Source organism: Homo sapiens, chromosome 7 (genome assembly GCF_000001405.40).
Source record: "Homo sapiens chromosome 7, GRCh38.p14 Primary Assembly".
Taxonomy (NCBI): domain Eukaryota; kingdom Metazoa; phylum Chordata; class Mammalia; order Primates; family Hominidae; genus Homo; species Homo sapiens.
In genome coordinates, this window is record NC_000007.14 from 21,441,871 (window position 1) to 21,456,238 (window position 14,368).

At 38.2% G+C, this 14,368-nt stretch overlaps 1 protein-coding gene across 7 annotated transcripts in view, besides 1 other annotated feature; it reads left to right on the forward strand.

Annotated features, from left to right (window-relative positions):
* Positions 1 to 14,368, forward strand: part of SP4 (Sp4 transcription factor) — an 86,740-nt gene that overhangs the window by 13,788 nt on the left and 58,584 nt on the right. Inside the window, exon 4 of one of the 7 annotated variants that reach the window (XM_011515487.3) lies at positions 1,721 to 1,775. The exons of the other annotated variants lie outside the window; for them this stretch is intronic. Within the exon in view, the coding sequence (XP_011513789.1) occupies positions 1,721 to 1,761 (41 nt within the window). The 3' untranslated portion in view covers positions 1,762 to 1,775. The remainder of the gene's footprint in view (positions 1 to 1,720; positions 1,776 to 14,368) is intronic. 7 annotated transcript variants of the gene reach the window in all.
* Positions 12,161 to 12,455: a silencer, noted in NCBI's record as "tiled region #5184; HepG2 Repressive non-DNase unmatched - State 23:Low". NCBI's record gives its function as "represses a minimal TATA promoter and a strong SV40 promoter by Sharpr-MPRA in HepG2 cells {active_cell/tissue: HepG2}" and the evidence as "EXISTENCE:reporter gene assay evidence [ECO:0000049][PMID:27701403]".

Consider the following 14,368-nt stretch of genomic DNA (forward strand, 5'->3'; position numbering starts at 1 on the left):
AACTAAAGATGAAGTGAGACATGTTTTCTGCCCTCATAGGATATATTATCTGTTGTGGGAGACACACTGTACTTCTCTGCTTCTAGGACATGCTTTTTACATTTTATTTTTATTTCATTTTATGTGTGTGTGTGTTTGTGTGTGTGTGTGTGTGTGTGTGTGTGTGTATTTTTTTTTTTTTTTTTTGAAACGGAGTCTTGTTCTGTCACCCAGGCTGGAGTGCAGTGCCACAATCTCGGCTCGCTGCAGCCTCTGCCTCCCAGGTTCAAGTGATTCTCCTCCCTCAGCCTCCCAAGTAGCTGAGATTACAGGCACCCGCCACCACGCCCAGCCAATTTTTGTATTTTTAGCAGAGAGGGGAGTTTCGCCATGTTGGCCAGGCTGGTCTTGAACTCCTGACCTCAGGTGATCCACCCGCCTCAGCCTTCCTAAATGCTGGGATTACAGGCGTAAGCCACCACGCCTGGGCCCATTTTAAATCTATAAAATTAAAACACACCTTGTAATCAAAGGCATGTCATAGTTTAATTAGCAGAACTTTTTTCTTTCTTATGATCATTTGCATCTTAGACTCAATAGTACATGATAGATATCATCTAATATCTATATATGTCATACATATAGCTAATTAAATTACTTTGTGGTGTTTGGTTTATACAAGCTGTGAATGAAGTGTTAATAGAATCCCAGAAGAAGGAAGAACTAGTTCTGCTTGTAGGGTTCTGGGAATGTTTTCATGGAAAGGGTGATAACTGGAGCTGAGACTCAAAGGATGACTAAAAAGTTTACCATATCAGAAGGAAGAAAAGGGCCACTTCAGGTTATGTTGGATTTCACATGCAATTTTTGAAATTCAAGTAGTTTTTTGTTTTGTTTTGTTTTTGAGACGGAGTCCCACTCTGTCGCCTAGGCTAGAGTGCAGTGGCACGATCTTGGCTCACTGCAGCCTCTGCCTTCCGGGTTCAAGTGATTCTCCTGCCTCAGCCTCCTGAGTAGCTGAGATTACAGGCGCCTGCCATCACACCCAGCTAATTTTTCTATTTTTAGTAGAGATGGGGTTTCACCAGGTTGGCCAGGCTGTTCTTGAACTCCTGACCTCAGGTGATCCACCCACCTTGGCCTCCCAAAGTGCTGGGATTACAGGTTTAAGCCACCATGCCTGGCTCAATTAGTATTTTGTAAACATTACAAAATTGAGAATTAGCTCAAGGAGTGTTCATATAAAAGTTGAATTGTGAGCCTCATGTGAGTAGAGTCTGTGTTATATATGTAAGTATGTGTATTAATTTATAATTCTATTTTTTCTCACACCTTGATGAGCATTGCTTAGTATCTGTCATTCTGATACTGAACCAGAAGAAAGGACACAGGTGGAGAACTTTGATTTCATAGGAGAATGGGATGGACAGATCCTTGGAATAGACTCAAGATATATATTAAAGGAGTGAGAGAGTTTACGATCGTAAAAGGAAAAGTGATGAGTAAACGGAAATAAAGGGAATTTAAATCTGATTGCTTCATATGTTTTGGTAGACAGTTGAAGGTAAGAATCTTACCAGTTAGGGGATACTTTGAGAAGAAATTGAAGGTATGTAAAATTTCCAGGTTGATTCTGTCCCTCTGATATTATTATGTAGATGCCTTTTAATGTGGCCAGTCAGAAGGGGTTTAGTACAGTTCTGTAATAATGAGTCAAGTCACCATAGCTTTTTGTTCACAGAAGCGGAGCTGCTTTTGCACAGGCGTATAGGAACGAGATAGTGATCTGTGCTTTGGTAAGTGGGTATCTGTGCCTGGTGTGGGGCTGGGAAAGGGGTGGAAAATCCTTGCTCTGGTCTAGTTGGGGATATCTATGCCAGGGAGTTGAAGGAGAAGAGAGAAGAGGAAGAGACTAGGTGAATATGATGACAAGTACTAACGGGATTTATATAAGAGAAAGAAATACTTAAAAGTGGTTTGTGAATTCTGCAGGTTTTTCCAAATATTTAAATCTACATATGAACCAGGTTGAGACAAATCTTTGACAGATGTCATAAATACTACAAACTATAACATGCTTGTTGAAGCAAACTTTATTATTTCTGATTTTGTTAGTATAGGTTTTTAAAGTTAAAGCGTATTTTTATTTTCAGAATTTCTCTCACCTGTTGTTGTTATTGGTAGGTTGTCACTGCCTTTACTGATTTTAATTATAGGGCAAGTAAATGGTTTTAATATCCCCTTGTTAGACTTTCATCTATTACCTGTACTCCCTACTGGCAGACTGCATCCATGAATTCAGTCAGCAAGTAAATACTCAGCATCTGTATTGTGCGGCTTGATATGTTCCTTAGATGATTGAATAACATGGGACTGAACTCCTGCTTCCATAATATTCCAGTGGGGAGAGAAATTATGCAGTTTTCTTTAATGAATGAAACAAGAAGTAAAAGGGTACTTCTTTGAACCTTATGTTTGTTTTATATTTTGGCTGACATTTACTGCACGTTTATAGTATACCAGATAATGCATGCAGCACTTGATCTATTAACTTATTTAATCTTCAGAATACACTGTAAGGTAAGTATTGCTGACATCTCTCCTTTCAGGTATAAAAACTGAGGCCTATAGAGGTTAAATAATTTGCTCATGGCCACATAGTGAATGATGGAACCAGAGTCTAAACGTACTTGTACTATTACCACTTACTGCCCTGAATTGTGTACTCTCTGTATACTGTAGTGTTTGTTTTCTGTGATCATTTATGGACTCAGTTTATTGTTTGTCTCTTATATGCCACTGTTTAAGCACTTTATGTGTATTAACTGTTTATTTTTCACAATCCTATGAAGAAGGTGGTGGTGGTGACCTCAAATTATAGAACAGGAAACCAAGGCTATCAGAGGTTAATTTACTTGGCCAAGATCATATAGCCAGTAAGTTAGGGTGCTAGTAAGTAAAAATTCTTTATAAAACAAGTCCGGGTGAATAGGACTGTAATCTCCCTTTACAGCTAACCACTACTACTTTAAGTATTTTATTGTAATTACTGTAATATGCTCAATAAGAAACAGATTCCTAGATCTTTAGCTGAGTGCTCCACTCCTTGTGTTCTTTTGGGGGTTTGAGGTACATATGCCACAAAGGGAATTAGAAAGAAAGTTTTTATTACTTTGATGGACTGTGTTGATTGGGAATTTGAGGCTAGTAATAACATCTCCCTGACTAAATATTTGTGTATCACAAACTAATTTTGAATAAATGAAAAAACACAGATTCTAAGAATATAAGCGCAATAAGAGTATGTATTCTTTTTTCCCTTTCTTTTATTTTTTGAAGAAAAGGGCCCAAAAGAGGGAGTCTTGTATTTTGTTTTCATTAATAGTTGTAAAACCCCAAAAAGAATATACCTTGTAAGGCTTAAATTTCATGACTTGCTTCTTGATGAGGATGTGAGATGTCATTAGATAGGAATTTATGCCCATTTTCTGAAGGAAATAACATTAAGAAAACCCAGAGACCCTAAGAATTAGTATATGTGTAGAATTTATGTTCTTTAGCTAATCCTGCATGTAATTTTTATGTAGCATTAGCTTAGTTGACAGGGTTGGTCCTGCAACTTTATTGTTTTCTGCTGGATAAATAATATTTAGTATCTGCCATTGTATACATCGCATATTGTTCTAGGTGCTGGGGAAACAAAACAGACATGTTCTTTATTCATGGAGACTATACTTTGTTCTGGGTGAGTTTTGTTTTATCTTGATCTTAGATTATTGCTGTTTTTAGTAGATGAGAAAATCAAGGCTTAGAAAGTTTAAATAATTTGCCTAAGGTTACAGAATTGATACATGGCGGGTGTTGAGAAAAGAACCCAGAGTTTGTGTGGCTTCAAAATTTTTTCTGCTGTTTCATCACAAATCCTTGAGGCCAAGGAAATCATGGTTTCCCTGAAAAGTTTTAAAAGGATTTTCTCTCTTTTTTTAGTAACAAGCTACCAAAGAGAATTGAAGACCAATTTACATTTTGCAAGAGTTTGATACATCAGAGTGCATTCACAATATACGAAAATAGAATAGTTAATTTAGTCCGTATTTCCAAAACATATGATCGAGTTCATTTTGTGTATCTTATGTGTATGTGTGTGTGTGTGTGTGTGTGTGTGTGTGTGTGTGTGTGTGCACGCATATGTAGGTAGATATATATGTGTGTGTGTGTGTGTGGTGTGTGCATACTTAGTGTATATGTTTACTCATTATAAACACATTCAGGGAAAACTTAAAGGGATTATATTCTATACCTATTCATCACCTTCCTTGTTCTCCCGCACCTTCACTATAATTAAGGATACCAGCTCATATGGGGATATTTCTAAAAATTAGCCCACCTCTTCATACTCCTATCCTTACCCTAAGCCACAAAGAAAACGTGATTGTTGAAATCAAAGTACTTAGACAGTTTTCAGCACTTTAAAAATGATTCTTTGGCAGCTGTCTGAACTGGTAGTGGTAACTATGTATAATTTTCAAACTGGAAAGCAAACATGTTTCATTCCATAAGTGGTTTGTGATGAGCAGAGTGTAACTATGACATATTTAAAAAAAAAAAGAGCTCTGTGCTAGGTAGCAGTTTGTCTCTGCCATTAAACAATTTTGTAACCTTTGGGAATGGAGGTCTTGGTTTTTTTCTTTTGTACAGTGAATGTATGTGTGTGTAGTGTGTTTCGTAAAATGAAATACTTGAGGTACTTTCATTTAGTGTTAGGATTCTATAGGTACTTTCATTTAGTGTTAGAATTCTATAAAGCACAAATATGTAGGTACTAAATCAGCTTAATTTTATTTCACTGAGCCAGTGGGAAAGCTCAGGAAAAATACTATTTACTAATATTGCTAGTTTTAAAATCAAATTGATTTCTTTTTAAACTGTGAATGGAGCATGTTCATATACGGGTTTGTTTGTTTTGACAAATTCTTTTTTTTTTTTCTTTCCCCAAGCCTGGGTTCCAAAAAATGTTTTGACAGATTCTTGAAGCCAAATCTAATATTGACTCTAACGCTATTCTCCATTAAAGAAGTTTAGTCTCTAGGTTTAAGTCATTTTTAGGATTCACAGAATGTTTTAGAATATGGTTCATTCACTAGCGCCCTTGTGACTAGCCACATGTCCAGCCTTCAGCAACAGCAAAGATGGGGGCCAGGTCCCTAAACCCTTGGGCATGTAGATTGCCATCTGGGACCTCATCTGACTATTCAGAATGCCCTTGCCAGCGGATACAGACCTTGAAGATGCCTAGTTAGAAACCAGCTGCCCTTTAAAGCCATAGTGTGTGATTGCTTAGGCCTGAGATTCTCTAGCTTACAAGCAGTATAACCCTGTAATATAGAGCTCTTCTGTTCAATATTACCTCCTAACCTTTCCAAAACCCAATACTTTATACCAAAGATTTTACCATAGTCCTTGCTGCCTTCTTGCCATCTCACTTTGGGTAACCATCCTAACCTACCTAACCATTTTATTACCTTAGCACCTTATGACTTGGACTTCTGGTTAGTGTGCCCCAGGGACAGTAGTTGTAAAATCTAGAAATTTAGTAGAAGAGTTAGATGGATCTTTGTATTTCAGTTTCAAAGGAGACAACTTTCTAATATTCTAGAAGGTGAAGAATATCATAACTGATTTATAGTCCAAGAGGTCTCATTAGAACAGTGGAAACTATTTGCTGGAGCTGTTGAATTTTCTGTTAGAGTATTAAGGCAGGGAGAATACCATTTTCAGCCTCACAACTACTGGCATGCATAGAGTTTAATGTTGGATTCTAGCTGCTGTCTTGGGAAGAAAGTACTTTTTTTGAGACAGAGTCTTGCTCTGTGGTCCAGGCTGGAATGCAGTGGCGTGATCTCAGCTCACTGCAACCTCCACCTCCCAGGTTCAAGCGATTCTCTTGTGTCAGCCTCCCAAGTAGCTGGGACTGCAGGCATGTGCTACCACACCCGGCTAATTTTTGTATTGTTACTAGAGATGGGGTTTCACCATCTTGGCTAGCCTGGGCTTGAATTCCTGACCTCAAGTGATCCTCTCGCTTCGGCCTCCCAAAGTGCTGGGATTACAGGCATGAACCACTGTGCCTGGCCTGGAAGAAAGTACTTCTTTACATAATAGGATTGCATTAAAGTCAAAGGATGCATTTACAGAATGACCCCCCGTGAAGAATTTTTTGAATTAAATAACAATAAAATACAGGAATTTAAAATATAATATTTGCTTGGATTTCATTTTGTAGGTTAATCTAAATTTTTTGAACCACTTTAACAAATATTTAGTTACCCATGATTACTGAGAAATAAAAGAGCTGTTTTGGAAGTAATGTCTTAGAAAGTTTAGTTGAGGTCTAGCTCACTACTATTATACAGAAATTTTTTAAAAAAGAAAATTGTGCTTTCTAGTACCACTGGCAAGTACTCTTAGTAAAGAATTTGTGTTTCATTAATTATTAAGAATCCTACTGTTTTTTAATGTAATATTAGGCCATTCTTATTAAAGATCATTGAGCAGTCAATCCTCAGTGGTTAGGAATAGCTATTTGTTTCTACATGATAATTATATAGATTTAACTTAAAATGAAGGTGACATTGTGGTGCTGGTGAAAATAGAAATGGACAAGAATGAGACGTGGGTTCAATTCCCTGTTCTTTTAGTTACTGTCTGTGATGTGGGAATCTCCTTTAGCTTTCACAAGCCTCAGTAATAAACACCTATAAAATGAAGATAGCCTGCCTACTAGACAGGATTTTTCTGAGGATTAAATGGAGTAATATGTGTGACAATGTATTGTAAATGCCAGAGTACTGATAGGTGTAAAGTATTATTACATCGTTTTGTTTACCTTTACTCTTTTCTTCTAAATTATTATGTGTGTATGTTTAACATTTTACAGTCTTATTTTCTATTACATTGTCGTTTTTACATCTGTAACATATAACAATGCTGGTATATAGTGCATGTTCAGTAAATAGCCAATGGAAATGAGACTCCTCTATTACTTGGCTTGATTGAGTATATTAACCCTTTTATTTTATGTATTATGCTTTGACATCTGAGGTCTGCTGACTTTGGAAGGACTACCTCTTCCGGGGTTAACCATTTCCTAAAGACAATTCTCCTGCAAATGCTTTTTTCAAAACACACACCAACCAATCCAGAGCCTGCATCCTAACCACCTCCTATATTAGGTTCTCATACTTTAGACCACCTGCTCTAATCACCCCCCAGGGCGAGGTACCAAACAACTAGGGACAGCCCCTGTGCCCCACGGTCTTCTAAAGTTATTCAAACTAGCCAACCCTAAGCCTGTTTACCCTGCTTTGCCTGTTCCTTGTGGTGGAAACCACAATAAAGGATCTCGCCAACAGTTTCTACTCCTGCTTTTGTCTCCTAACTGACCCGTATGCTCCACATCCTATGGCAGGTTGTGCCGCCTCCTCTTGGGAACTGTAACAAACTTATCTTTTCAGTGGCAATCAATTTTCTATTAATACACTATCTTTTAAAACTTTGGGCTACTGATTTTTTTTCAATCCTTGTGGCAAAGAATCTTATTATTAAGAAAGTATTAAATACTGTTAGATTTAAAGCTTTTTTTGGAAGTAACTTGAAGAGATTCAGAATGGTACTGAAATACATATGCGTGTATAGGTAAATATGTACATATGTTTAAGTATACGTGTGTGTATATATACATGCATATGTATAATGTATGTGTATAAAAAAACTTTAAACTTGATTTGGAAGATGACAAATTCTCATCTATAAGCTCCCTTTACAGATCATCTTTGGTTCTGCTCTCTTTGTTTATAAATGGAAAAACTAAGGCCCAGTGTGAATATATGGTTTACCCAAATCACACCTTTAGTTATTGGCAAACCAGGATAACCTAGGTCTGATTCCTTCAGGCTTAAGTAGACATTCAAATGTAAGCATTTTTTATTGGGAAAAAAATTATAGGCAAGTCTTTTCTTCTTGCCTTTCTCAAGGGAATAAGGTATTAATTTTGTTTTCTCCTATCCCAAGTGGCAGTGGTTCGGTTGCTAGGTAATTGTTCCAATTGATACAGTTTCTCCATCTAGCAAAACTAAAATTTAAAATTTAATATAGTTATTTATATTTTATTTTATAAAACTATTTTTAATAATAGATCCCAGAGACTTATTTTATGTCCCACATCTACCCATTTGTATCTCAACTTGTTTTTATGTTTTTTTCTTACTTTGTTTTATTTGGCTTTTGCTGTTAGATTTGTAAGCTTGGAAACTTGCAGCAGCCTTTAAGCCAGGTACTTCATTGTAAAGATTTTCCAGGATTTCTGTTTTTATGGTAAATTTGACTGGGTCAAATAGTCATATTGTGAACAGAGCCAACATGAGAAATTGCTGACTAGGGATATCAATAATTTATAGTGAAACAAAAATGATTTAGGAAATTTGGTGGATTTTTTAAAGTGATTTTTGTTTTTTTAATTTTAGGGGGCTTTTTTGGTGGGCATAGTAATATTGAGGTAAATATACATGCTTTGGGGTGCAATAGGTTTCTGTTATATTCTCTTTCATTGGGCCTTCATATAAGTATTGGATCCAGTTTGGTGTTCCACATTTTAAGGAAGAGGGAGATGAAGCCTGAGAAGTGGCTTAAAAATGGTCCTCCATACAGCCACTTGTGATAGTTCTCCATTTCCTCAGAAGATTGAACAAATTGTGATATAATTATGGTGGAAGAAGAAATTTAGGTTAAGGAAATACATTCTTAATAATGCAAGTGCTTAAACAGGATATAACTTAGTAAGGAAGTTAACTCTCTGCCCAGGAAAATCTTTCATATACTACATACTAGCTTGTTACTAGAATTGCATGTCATTTTGTTAGTGGTCGTGAATCCATACAGGTCTGCAGCAACCTCAGTTCTTGCCTCCTCAGAAGAAAGAATTTAACCAAGGGGCATAAGGCAGAGGGAGAGACTAAGGCACGTTTTAGAGCAGGAGTGAAAGTTTATTAAAAAGTTTTAGGGCAGGAATGAAAGGAAGTAAAGTACATGGAAATGGGCCAAGCGGGCGACATGAGAGTCAAGTGTGTGGTTTGACCTTTGACTTGGGGTCTTATATGTTGGTGTGTTTCTGAGGTTGTGTTACTTCTTGCATGATTCTTCCCTTGGGTTGGGCTGTCCAGATGTGCAGTGGCCTGCCAGCACTTGGGAGGGGCTGCACGTGCAGTGTGTTTGTTGAAGTTTTATGCATGCTCTCTTGAGCTGTTTTTTCCCTTACCAGTCTAGTGCTCATATATCAGTTAAACTCTGCCGTTTGCCTCTTAGTGTGTATGCTTGAGCTCACTCGTCCAACTCCTGAGATCTTATCAGGAAGCTGCTGATTGCCAGCTTCAGGTGTTTCTAGCTACTGAGAGACTGCCTTTCCCTGTTGCTGGCTGTGACCAATTACTATATTAGAGCGACAGTTTAACAACTGCCTGACCACCTGATATTCTTGGTTGCGGGGTTAGGGGGTGCTTTCTGTCCTGCTCACATCTGACTACCTACTGTAACATTTCCTCCCTTAAGAGTCCAAGACCCCAGTTCTTTGGGGAAAATGGATGGTCAGTCTTCTGTAACTGCTTCTTGCTGACAGGGATGATGGTGGTTGTTCTGTAGGTCTTGGCCTCTTGCTGGCTGTCAGGGCAGGGTGGCTCTGTGGGTTGATGAAAGCTGAATTCAGCCAGGTCCAAGGGAGACAGGGGCAGGATTTTGCCTCTGTCATGTCCCACTGATGGGCAGTCTAGGAGTCCCCTATAGAAGGGTGACTCTTGGATATTGAGAGGATGGTATTCTTTACTGAGGATCATCTGGAGCTGGATGGCCTGAAGGTGAGAGGAGACAAATCAGATTATTAGATTTAGAAGACAGAGGCCAAAAACGACAAGTAGAGATGTTAAGACAAAATAAGGGGATGAGGACAGATTAAAGAATTCTGAGAATTCTGAGACTCCCAACATGCCAGGCAGGTGGCTGCAGTCATGCCAGCTGTAGTCATGCCGGCTGAGACCTGGGTGCGTGGGGTTGCTAACCAATTCCGATACATGCCCAGAATTAGAATATTGACCCAGATTTTTACATTACCCATCCCTTTTATTTCTTCTGAGCTGTAGCCAGAGATCACTGGTTGGTTCACAGGAATGAGCAGAGTTATTCTAAATGGCAGAAAAAAACTTAATAACAACTGATGAGACTAAAATTTGATAACAGTAGTACCATAGTTCTTGAAACATGATTTTTCTCTTCAGTTCTCATTTTTATTAAGAACAAATTATGATAGGACTGATTTGTTTGCAAAATAAGCTTTAGTTCTGTTATACTTGGCCTAATGAGTTGCATAAAGCACAGCAAGAATAATTATTTGCCATATAGGCTCCTTTTAAAATTGGCTTTGATGGAACTTCCTTCCATAAGGAGTCTCAGATAAGGCTTTTTAAAACCTTAAGCCCAGCTATCAGTTGGTGCCATCAAATACCTGTATGAATTGGACAAATTCCCCTTGTCTTGCTTGGGGCTCCTGGGCCTGTCAAAAGTGACATTCTTTACTTGCCACAGGTCGGGAATCCTGTACAGGGACTGTGTTGACAATGTATGAGTTCAGTTTTCCAGAGGGGCTTTTCTTGGCTTTATAAGTCAATTTTGATTCTTAAAGGAAAGCATGCCATTCCAGTCAAAACCTTGGTAAAATAACCAGTTTCTCCAATTGTGTCCTGTTGCAAAAGAAAACAGATTTTATTGCACTTATGCAAATAACTATATTGCCATTAGTTAAGAATACTCACAAGTAGTTTCCAAATTCTGCAGAAATCTGAGAGAAGTATGTTCCAAATTTTGTTTATAGGAGTATACTTTACTCATTATTTTTTTTTTTTTTTTTGAGACAGAGTCTCACTCTGTCACCCAGGCTGGAGTGCAGTGGCACGATCTGAGCTCACTGCAGTCTCCACCTCCGAGGTTCAAGCGATTCTCCTGCCTCAGCCTCCTTAGTAGCTGGGTCTACAGGCACCTGCCACCGCACTGGCTAATTTTTATATTTTTAGTAGAGACGGTTTCACCACATTGGCCAGGCTGGTCTTGAACTCCTGACCTTGTGATCTGCCTGCCTGGGCCTCCCAAAGAGCTGGGATTACAGGTGTGAGCCACCGTGCCCGACCTACTCAATTGTTAAAAGCTGTAAATAGCTCAAAAGTTTTCTTGGCGTTGAAAAACAAAGAATTAGCAATGTTTTAAGCAAAAAGTCATAAAAGGATTATTTTAGTCTTCTATTAGTTCAGTCCATGCAGTTAACTCCTGTTCTGCTTTATATTCATGAACATTTCAGCTTTCATGAGAGTCCTGAAAGGTTTTTTTCTTTATCCTATGTCACAATCTCCAGTTATCAGAAACCTGCATTTAAGCCTATCAGTAATTATAAAACCACCTTTTAAAGAGGATTAAAACAAGGTAACAATTATCTGTGGATGATAAAAAGTCTTAGGGCAGCCACAGCCAGACACAATTGAAAAGGAAATTTGTTAGCCTCTGTGGCATGCAATAATTTAACTTAACAATTATAATTATTACTGATAATGTATGCCTAGTCATATCAGAATTGTAGGAGTTTCACATAATTCTGGAACCCATACCAATAACACACTTACACAAATACAGCCCAAAGAAAGCTGGATTTCACCTTTGCATTGGTGTACTATTGATGTCAAACCCAGTTCTTAATAAAACCTTATAGACAAATCTATTCAATCTTAATCAGTTTGCCCTCATTTTGTAAGATTGTCATAGACCTTTTATAACCCTTTACAATTTTTTTGTTAAAGACCAGAAGAATGCTCTAAGAAAACTGTGTTATGCTTTTATTCCAATGTTTAATTTATGAATAGTCTGAATAGTACCCCTTTAATGTTAGCTAACGTGTTCACACAGGATTTCTTTTACAAGATTAATATTTCACACATCTGCCACGACTTGCTCAAACCTTTAGCTTTATCCTATCTAACTTAAAATAATTCTTTAACTCCCTAAACTAGGCCAAAAAAATCTATATTCCCATGCCTTCTTATGATATTTTACCAAAAGTACATTTTACTTTACTTACATGTTTTACATGTAAAACTCTTTTTTTCAGTAGTCTCAAGTACATGTTACATGGTTAACTCTTAGCAGCTTTTACTTTGGATGAAAACCTGGTAAGTAAGAAATTCTAATTATGTACTAGGTGTGGAGCCTAGGACACCAGACAGAAGTGTAGATAAGGTCTGACTCTTTCCAGCATAGCTAGGGGGCATGGCTAACTCTGTGTGTCTTCAGGCCTTATGTAGCTTTAAAGCAGACAAGTTGTCCAGTTAAGAGTCATAGTAGAAGTTTAGGAAGCATTTAGTGGGCTTAATAACCTTTACAATTATATAACATTTCTTTATAAATTCCCTTTTACTAACTTTTTTTTTTTTTACAACTTACACAGACCATCTACAACATACTTGGACTCTCTCACTTGGCTTGAACATCCCTCTTTTTATACAACCATTTTACTTTAGGACAATAGTTTACCATACAAGATCCTTTCTCATATAAAATATCTTTTCTTTTTAACCTTCCTTACCAAAAATACCTCTTTACCTTTATAACCTTTGAATTAGATAAAAGTCATTTTCCTTCTATTAGGAAGTTATGGTTTGTTGCTGTGTGAGTCCTATGAAGGGGGAGCAGATGAGGTTATCTATATACTGTAGAAGTTATCCACCCTCAAAAGACTGCTTGGTTAGATTTTTACTAAGGCTTTTCCCAATACATGTGGGCTCTCTCTAAACCTCTGAGGTAGGACTTTCCAGTTGAAGTTATTGGTTAAAGATTTAGGTAGCTTTCTGAAGAGAAATGGGGCTATTAGACAGATGAATTCACAGGTTGGGCACCCATCTTTGAAAGTAAGTTTTTGCCCCAAAAGGGTGTGAATCTTTTCTTTTTAGGGAAGGGGTGCCATACGCCCCCATTACCTGACAGGATTTGGAGGAGAGTTGATCAGAGCAGGACATTAGCACAGAGTAGGCAGCTTTTGAACCCAAAAGGGAAATTTATAATTTTTACTTGCCACATCTAGAGTTTCCCTTGGCTTTGTACTGTTGATGGCAACAATGTCTGATTTGGAAGCCAGCCAGAGCAGAGAGCCCCTTCAGCTCAAGAGTGTCAGGAGTTGAGATTTTGTCTTGGGGGTGGGGGCGTGCTTCAACCCTCAGGAATGTCCTGTTCCAGTGGCTGAGCTTGTGGCAGAGGGGTCAAGCTGTGCAGGGATTTTTCCCTGATTATCCCATTGGGGAAGTTTGACTTCCAGTAGCCTGGCTTCCCACACCACTTGCAATTAACTGAAGGAGTAGGCTTTTGTAGTTTTTGTCCAGTTTATTTTTAGGCCAAACAGTATTACAAAGGAAAACTAGTTTTTTGTTTTAAGGTTTGAAGGATCAAACTTTTCCCAGTTTTTTGAGGATGCATCCATGGGGCATGTCCTGGGGTATGGAAACATGATTACCCATCTGTGAAGAGAGATCAGAGGAGGAAAAAGAAAAAGAAAGCGTCCCCTCTTACTTTCCTATATCCTGAATAGGACATCCCCCATTCGTCCTTAGGGTTCCATAATGAACTGGTCTTACCATGTACTCTTAACCTTTGTAGTGTCTTGTCACAATTACCCATTTGAGAACATTGGAGACACCAATATGAACAGGGCCCCCCAGTTCATCCTTGGGGTTACGGAATGAACCTGTCTTACTGTGTACCTATCATTGTGCCTTCAACCCTGTTCTAATGGTAATCTGTTAGCCTGGAACCAACCTTCATCTCTGTCTTATGGGTCTCTTTTGTCTGCAGTCTTGGGCCAGCCTATATCTTTGTCTTCATAACCTTAGAGTGACTCTCACTTGCAGCATTTTAGCAACAAAATGATGATCTCTTTTCTCAGATTCCCATTTTCCGTGTTCTTTAAGTAGATGAGAAGCCTGCTTTTCCAGCTAACTGCCACAAGGGGCTGGACTTCCCTCCCTTCAAATATGACCCTGAAGATCTTGGTGCATATTGGGAAGGGCATGGAAGTAATTCGTGAAATGGAGGCTACAGGAGGAAGTGGGAAGAAGCTAGAGGAATACTCATGGAAAGCCTTCATATGCTTGCAAAAACAGCAGCCCTTGGATTTGAGGGGGCAACATTTATTGGCCCTCTTGACCTAAAGGAGGAACCTCTGGAGCACTTGGGGCTTGGGGTGAGAACTCACAAATGGCAAAAGAAGAATTTTCTCTCCTCCCAAAGGGTTGCTAACTCCAAAAAAGCAAGT